Here is a 9163-nt window from a genome sequence, read left to right on the forward strand (position 1 = left end):
TTAATATTTGATCACATTTGCTTTCTTTCCAGACCATAGGATAATTGTTGACATGGCTGCATAGCATTCCATTCTTTGGATGGCCTCAGATTTTTGAGCCACTCCTCTGTCACTGGATATTTGAATGTGTTCAGATATTTTCGTTGTTATAACCAGGATGGGATAAGTCTTTGCTGTCAAATTTTTGTGCGGAGCCATGATTATTTCCTTGTGATAAATTCCTAGAAGTAGAATTTATAGATTTTTTTTGAGACAGAGTCTCACTTTGTTGCCAAGGCTGGAGTGTAGTGGTGTGATCTCTGCTCATGGCAACCTCTGCCTCCTGGTTTCAAGTGATTCTTCTGCTTCAGCCTCTGGAGTAGCTAGGACTACGGGCACACACTACCATGCCGCCTAGCTAATTTTTGTATTTTTAATAGACACAGGGTTTCACCATGTTGGCCAGGCTGGTCTCGAACTTGTGGCCTCAAGTGATCTGCCCACCTCGGCCTCCCAGGGCGCTGGGATTACAGGCATGAGCCACCTCACCCGGCTGAATTTATGGATTTAAAGGAGGTCACTGCATTGTAAATCAAGTGTTGAGTGACAGTGGTACGCATAACAGTGAACCTCCTCATCTAAGCTCTATATCAGGGGTCAGCAAATTATGGCCCCTGGTTTGCTGACCCTTTACAGTTTCCTATAGCCTGCAAACTAGGAATACTATTTACATCTTTAAAGGGCTTTAGAAAAGTAAAACTAATATTTTGTGACACATCAAAATTATATGAAATTTGCATTTTAGTGTCCATTAATAAAATTTTCTTGGAACACAAGTCTCACTCATGCGTTTACATATTGTCTGTTACTGCTTTCACGCTATAATGGCAGAGTTGAGTAGTTGCCAAAGAGACCACATGGTATGGACATCCTAAAGTATTTACTATCTGGCCTTTTACAGAAAAGGTTTGCCAACCCCTGCTCTGTACAATGCCTGTCACCAATACAGAGGTTGGGGCTCTAACCAGGTGGGTCTCCCTGGCTTCCACTGGCGACCTCTTAACCTGGCTTATGGGTGCACATTTTCAGGCTGGTGCTTCTGGGAGATATGAGAGACACAGTCAGCTTGTTTCCAGCTCCAAGATGTGAGATGGACTGTGTCTCTTATGTCTGCATTTGAATCTTCTCTCCTTTCCATCCAACTTCCTGCCCCCAGCTCTGACTCATAGGTCTCTGTCTTTGCCTTTTCCCAAGAAGAGCAAGAAATGACTAAGGCCCAGGGGAGGCTGCATTTCCCTGATAGCTAATGATGTAGAACATCTTGCCATGTGCTTATTTGTCATCTACATGTCCTTTATGGTGAAATGTCTCTTCACATTCTTTGCTCATTTACCAAATGGATTGCTTAAAAAAAAAAAAAACTTGAGTTTTGAGAGTTCCTTACATATTCTAGGTATGAGTTCTTTGTCAGATATGTGGTTTGCAAATATTTCCTCCCAGGCTGTAGTTTGTCTTTTTGTCCTCTTAACAAGGTCTTTGTTAGAGCAAACACATTTAATTTTGAAGTCTAGTTTATTGATTTAAAAACATTTTTTGGATCATGCTTTTGTTGTTGTGTCTAAGAACTCTTCACAAGCCGTAGCTCCCAAAGACGTTCTCCTGTGTTTTATTTTTAAAGTTTTTTAATTTTATGTTTGACATTTAAATCTGTGATCTGTTTTTAAAAAACAGCTTTATTGAGATGTAATTCACATACAATAAAACCCACACATTTGAAGTTTACAGTTCAGCAGTTTTTAATATATTCACAGAGTTGTACAAACATCACCACAATCTAACTTTATTTTTTTAATAATTTTTTTTTTTTTGAGACAGGGTCTCACGCTGTCACCCAGGCTGGAGTGCAGTGGTAGGATCTTGGCTCACTACAGCCTCAACCTCTCAAACGCAAGCGATCCTCCCTGCCTCACCCCCTCAAGTAGCTGAGACTATAGGCATGTGCCACCACGCCGGCTAAGTTTTGTATTTTTTGTAGAGATGGGGTTCCACTGTGTTACCCAGGCAGGTCTTGAACTCCTGAGCTCATTCGATCCACCCACCTCGGCCTCCCGAAGTACTGGGATTACAGGCGTGAGGCACCACGCCCAGCAATCTAGAGTATTTTCATCACCCCAAATAGAACTCCTGTACCCACTCCTCAGTGTGTTCTCCCCACCCCAGCCCTAAGCAACCACAAATTTAATTTCATCTGTAAAAATTTTTGTATTCTGCACATTTCAATAAATAGAATCATATACACTATGTGGCCTTTTATGCCTGGCTTCTTTCACTTAGTATAATGTTTTTAAGTTTCATTTGTCCATGTTATAATACTTATTAGTACTTTATTCCTTTCTAGGGCTGAATAATAGTCCCTTGTGCATATATGCCACATTTTGTTTATTTCTCTTACCAATTTCAGTAAAATGTAAAGTCCTTACTCCTTTTAAGTCCCTTTTCCTCCCCCTTTATAACATTAAATGTTAAATAAATATTTCCTCTCTCTATATTGGGAATCATCTCAATGTTGTAATTTATACTTCAACCATCAAGCACCATTTAATAAACTTGAGAGGGAAAATAAAGTCTATTTATTGATATTTTTGCTCCTTTTGTTGTTTTCCTTTCTGATGTTCCAAGATTCCTTCTTATATCATTGCCCTTCTGTTGTAAGGATTTTCTTTAGCCATTCTTTCAAGGTAAGTCTGCTGGTAACACATTCTCTTAGTTTTCCTTCATCTGAGAATGTCTTAATCTCACCATCATTCCTAAGGACATTTCTGCCAGCTAAAGAATTCTTGGTTGGTATTCCTTTTATGTCATCTCTTGAAAACTGTTGTGCCACTTCCTTCTGGCTTCCATGTTTTCCAATGAGAAATTCACTGTCATTAAAATTATTTTTCTTATGTAGATAAGATGTCGTTTCCTCCTGCTTTCAAGAATTTTTATTTGTCTTTAGGCCAGGCATAATGGCTTGTAATCCCAGCATTTTGGGAGGCTGAGGTGGGCAGAGCACTTGAGGTCAGGCGCTCAAGACTAGACTGGCCAATATGGTGAAATTCCCATCTCTACTAAAAATACAAAAATTAGCTGGGCGTGGAGGCACGTGCCTGTAATCCCAGCTACTCAGGAGGCTGAGGCAGGAGAATCGCTGGAACCCAGGAGGCAGAGGTTGCAGTGAGCCGAGATCATGCCCCTGCACTCCAGCCTGGGCAACAGAGCAAGACTCTGTCTCAAGAAAAAAAAAGAAAAAAATTTTCTTTGACTTTAGTTTTCAGAAGTTTGACTCTGATGTGCCTCAGCATGGATTTCTTTACGTTTATCCTGTTTAGGGTTTGCTTAGCCTTTTGAATCTGTATTCAACAGGTTTATATTTTTAGCCAAATATGGCAAAATTTCAGACATTGTTTCTTTGAATACTTTTTCAGCTCTTTCCTCTTTCTTCTCTTTTCTGGACTTTGATAACACAAATGATCGAATATTTGGTTCCACTAGTCCCTGAGGCTCTATTCATTGGTTTTCAGTCTACTTTTCTCTGCTGTTTGGAGTAATTTCTATTGTTCTATCTTCATGATTCGTGATTCTTTCTTGTGTCCTCTTCATTCTGCCTTTGAACCCATTCACTGAGCTTTCGATTCAGTTATTGTGAGACAAAGTACCATATGTAAGAAGCTATGTTTGCTCATTCGGCTTACCAGCAGAATTTCACAAAATCCCTTATCAGTGGAATTTTACAAAGCCCCTGACTCAGTGACTCAGCACCACCCACTGGAAGAATGTTCTGAAGATGATCAGCAGTATGGAGGACAGCCTGCCATGTCCCTTGTGTGAATCACAGCAGTTTTAGAAAGGATAAGTTCAGCGATCCTAATCCTGGCCTCTTCCTATACAGAAGATAACAGGATTATCTGACCGGATTAATAATTAGGCCTCTGTAGTCTATAACCAGATGTGCCCTCATACCCAAGCCTTGATGTGATTTTGCTCTAATGTAACTTCTGAGCACATTTGATGTAACTTCTAAGCTACATGCAGAGCTGCCACCACCTGTGTATAAACTGTGGCCTAAAACAGTTGGAGCAGTTTAACAGAAACTCTCTGAAAGACTCTCTCCGGTTGCAATCTTCAGTAAGAGTTCTGAATAAAATTAACTTAGGCCAGGCACAGTGGCTCACACCTGTAATCCCAGCACTTTGGGAGGCTGAAGTGAGCGGATCTCTTGAGTTCAGAAGTTCAAGACCAGCCTAAGCAACATGGCCAAACCCCGTCTCCACAAAAATACAAAAATTGGCCGGGTACAGTGGCGCATACCTCTAGTCCCAGCTACTCGGAAGGCTGAGGTGGGAGGATCGCTTGAGCCCAAGAGATGGAGTCTGTCTGCAGTGAGCCGACATTGTGCCACTGCACTCCAGCCTAGGTGACAGAGACCCTGTCTCAAAAAAAATAAATAAATAACTTTAATTCTTTAAAAGCCTGATTTTTTTCTTTAGTTGACAGTATTTTTCAGTTCTAAAATTTTCATTTGGAAATTTTATGATGGCAGAGCCCTCATGAACTAATCACCTTCCAAAGGCCACACCTCTTAATACTGCTACATTAGGGATTAAGTTCCAATCTACGAATATTGGGAGATACATTCAGACTATAGCAGGCCCCCTCCATTTTCTCCTGAACATGCATGCAGATTTGCTTATGTGCTGTCTTCCAGACCGCTTGGGGTAAGTAGGATCTTATCAAGGCCTTTTTTGCCTGTCTCATTCCCTGTATCTCCCTGTTAAATTTATTACTGAACTGTTGATTTATTACTTAACCCCAGTCAGTATGAAGACCTCAGAATGTCTCTGATATTGACCTTTCCTGGTTGTTAGCCACTGAGAACACTGTTGTTTTATTGTTTGTTTGTTTGAAGACAGAGTCTGACTCTGTTGCCCAGGCTGGAGTACAGTGGTGCAATCTTGGCTCACTGCAACCTCAGCCTCCCGAGTTCAAGCAATTCTCGTGCCTCAGCCTCCCGAGTAGCTGGGATTACAGGCGTGCTCCTCCACGCCTGGCTAATTTTTGTATTTTTAGTAGAGACAGCGTTTTACCATGTTGGCCAAGCTGATCTTGAACTCCTGACCTCAAGTGATCCACCCCCACTTGGCCTCCTAAAGTGCTGGGATTACAGGTGTGAGCCACCATGCCCCGCCTGAGATCACTGTTGTGTTGTGTTGTGTTGTTTTGTTTTGTTTTATTTTATTTTGTTTTGAGATTAAGTCTCTGTCGCCCAGGCTGGAGTGCACTGGCGCAATCTTGGCTCACTGCAATCTCTGCCTCCCAGGCTCAAGCGATTCTCCTGCCTCAGCCTGAGATCACTGTTGTTTTAAGTGTTGCTCCTGTGCATAGAATTTTCCTCACTGCTCTAAATAAAGTCAGCCCTCTCCTGCAGCAGAGCTGCTGGTTCTTTGGGTCTGCCCTTTCTTGGTGGAGCTTCTGTGCCTCAGAGCTGGAGGAGATAGTAACAGCTCTAGATTAAAACACCACAGGCACCTACTATTCTTACTGAGATCTGAGCTTCAGTAGATTTTCTTTTACTTTTTCCTATCAGAGCTTGTCAGAACACTTAATATGTTGATTTTTAAAAATATTTTATTTTTTGTGGGTACATAGGTGTATATATTTATGGGGTACATGACATATTTTGATACAGGCATACAATGTATAAAAATCACATCAGGGTAAATGGGGTATCCATCATCTCAATCATTTAGCCTTTCTTTGTGTACAAACAATCCAATTATAGTCTCAGTTATTTTGAAATGCACAGTAAATTATTGTTGACTATAGTCACCCTGTTGTGCTATCAAATACTAGATCTTATTCATTCTATTTAATTATATTTTTGTACACATTAGCCATCCCCACTTCTCCTGCAACCCCACTACCCTTCCTGGCCTCTGGGAACCATCATTCTATTCTTTATCTCCATGAGTCCAATCGCATTAATTTTTAGCTCCCACAAATAAGTGAGAACATGTGAAGTGTGTCTTTTTGTGCCTGGCTTATTTCACTCAATATCTTCCAGTTCCATCCATGTTGTTGCAAATGACAGGATCTCATTCTTTTTTTGTGGCTGAATAGCACTCCATTGTGCATATGTATCACATTTCCTTTATCCATTCATCTGTTGACAGACACTTAGGCTCCTTCCAAATCTTGGCTATTATGAACAGTGCTACAATAAACATGGGAGTGAAGATATCTCTTCAATATACAGATTTTCTTTCTCTCTCTCTCTCTCTTTCTTTTTTTCTTTTCTTTCTTTCAGACAGGGTCTCACTCTGTCACCCAGGTTGGAGTGCAATGGCTTGATCTTGTCTTGCTGCAGCCTTGACCTCCTAAGCTCAAACAATCCTCCCACCTCAGCTTCTTGAGTAGCTGGGACTACAGGCATGTGCCACCATGCCTGGCTAATTTTTATATATATATATATATAATATATATTATATTTATATAATAATTTATATATATAATATATATTATATAATATATTATATATATAATATTATATAATATATATTATATATAATATATATAATATATACAATATATACAATATATATAATTTATATATATATAATATATATATATTATATATATATATATTAGAGATGGGTTTCATCATGTTGCCCAGGCTCTATTTCTGTGAAGAATGTCATTGGTATTTTGACAGGGGTTGCATTGAATCTGTAGATTGCTTTCGGTAGTATGGTCATTTTAACCATATTGATTCTTCCAATCCATGAATATGGAATATGTCTCCATTTTTTGTGTCCTCTTCAATTTCTTTGTTTCACAGTTTTATTGTGGAGATATTTCACTTCTTTGGCGAAGTTTATTCCTAGGTATTTTATTTTATTTGTAGGTATTGTAAATGGGATTACTTTGCTGACTTCTTTTTCAGATGGTTTGTTGTTGGCATATAGAAATGTTATTGATTTTTGTATGTTGATTTTGTATTCTGCAACTTGACTGAATTTGTTTATTAGTTCTAGTAGTTTTTTGGTGAAGTCTTTTTTTTGTTTAATTTAATTTATTTGCCAAGATGATTAGTAAATTGCATAACTAAATTTGAAGTATACTTGAGCAAGTTTTCTAATTCCAAGTCTAATAATATTTCCGTTATACATGATAACTTTTGTAAACATACATGGCTTGATTTCAGCAAGTACAATAGAGAAATTAAAACCATAATCTACTGTTTATATGAAATGTCTGGAACAGGCAAACCCATAGAGACAGAAATTAGATTAATAATTGTCAGGGAATGGGAAGGAGGCAGAATTGAGAAGTAGCTGTTAGTGACTATGGGATTTCTATTTGAGGTGATAAAAAATTTCTGAAGTTAGATAATGGTGATAGTCACACAACTGTTTGAATATAGTAAAAAAAAAAAAAAACCACTGAAGCCAGGTGTGGTGGCTCACGCATGTAATCCCAGCACTTTGGGAGCTTGAGGTGGGAGGATCACTTGTTGCCCAGGAGTTTGAGATCAGCCTGGGCAACATGGTAAAACCCCATCTCTACAAAAAATACAAAAAAATTAGCTAAGATCACACCACTGCACTCCAGCCTGGGCAACAGAGACTGTCTCAACAGAACAAAACAAAACACACAACACTAAGTTGTATACTTTAAAAGGGTGAATTGTCTCTCAATACAGCTATTGTGACTACCATAATCTTCCAAGTTTGTCTTGATTCATTTTTAAAGTATAAAATGCTGTTTTTTATAGGTTAGAAACAAAATATATAGCAGACTGTTGTCACTTCATTCTCCAAATAGTTATTATGGAATCAGATCACCACAGGAGTTATTCAAAGCATCAGGATTGACACAGGTAGGAAATTGTAATAGTCTCTAATGAACTGTTCTGCTCTTCATTTTAAGTAAAACTTGACTTCTTCTGATTATATTCCTTTGATTTTTACAACTACTGTTCTTCCATTCAGACTGATCTTTTGAATTATCTTTTTTTTCTTTCTTTCTTTATTATTATTATAATTTAAGTTTTAGGGTACATGTGCACATTGTGCAGGTTAGTTACATATGTATACATGTGCCATGCTGGTGCGCTGCACCCACTAACTCGTCATCTAGCATTAGGTATATCTCCCAATGCTATCCCTCCCCCCTCCCCCCACCCCACAACAGTCCCCAGAGTGTGATGTTCCCCTTCCTGTGTCCATGTGTTCTCATTGTTCAATTCCCACCTATGAGTGAGAATATGCGGTGTTTGGTTTTTTGTTCTTGCGATAGTTTACTGAGAATGATGATTTCCAGTTTCATCCATGTCCCTACAAAGGACATGAACTCATCCTTTTTTATGGCTGCATAGTATTCCATGGTGTATATGTGCCACATTTTCTTAATCCAGTCTATCATTGTTGGACATTTGGGTTGGTTCCAAGTCTTTGCTATTGTGAATAATGCCGCAATAAACATATGTGTGCATGTGTCTTTATAGCAGCATGATTTATAGTCCTTTGGGTATATACCCAATAATGGGATGGCTGGGTCAAATGGTATTTCTAGTTCTAGATCCCTGAGGAATCGCCACACTGACTTCCACAATGGTTGAACTAGTTTACAGTCCCACCAACAGTGTAAAAGTGTTCCTATTTCTCCACATCCTCTCCAGCACCTGTTGTTTTCCTGACTTTTTAATGATTGCCATTCTAACTGGTGTGAAATGGTATCTCATTGTGGTTTTGATTTGCATTTCTCTGATGGCCAGTGATGGTGAGCATTTTTTCATGTGTTTTTTGGCTGCATAAGTGTCTTCTTTTGAGAAGTGTCTGTTCATGTCCTTCACCCACTTTTTGATGGGGTTGTTTGTTTTTTTCTTGTAAATTTGTTGGAGTTCATTGTAGATTCTGGATATTAGCCCTTTGTCAGATGAGTAGGTTGCAAAAATTTTCTCCCATTTTGTAGGTTGCCTGTTCACTCTGATGGTAGTTTCTTTTGCTGTGCAGAAGCTCTTGTTTTAATTAGATCCCATTTATCAATTTTGGCTTTTGTTGCCATTGCTTTTGGTGTTTTAGACATGAAGTCCTTGCCCATGCCTACGTCCTGAATGGTAATGCCTAGGTTTTCTTCTAGGGTT

The 9163-nt window shown here is 39.0% G+C and overlaps 1 annotated feature.

The window, feature by feature from the left end:
* Positions 981–1424: a transcriptional cis regulatory region, noted in NCBI's record as "candidate enhancer chrX.881 targeted for multiplex CRISPR interference". NCBI's record gives its function as "positively regulates ELK1 and UXT gene expression with high confidence in K562 cells {active_cell/tissue: K562}" and the evidence as "EXISTENCE:mutant phenotype evidence [ECO:0000015][PMID:30612741]".

Source organism: Homo sapiens, chromosome X, assembly GCF_000001405.40.
Source record: "Homo sapiens chromosome X, GRCh38.p14 Primary Assembly".
NCBI classification, from domain to species: domain Eukaryota; kingdom Metazoa; phylum Chordata; class Mammalia; order Primates; family Hominidae; genus Homo; species Homo sapiens.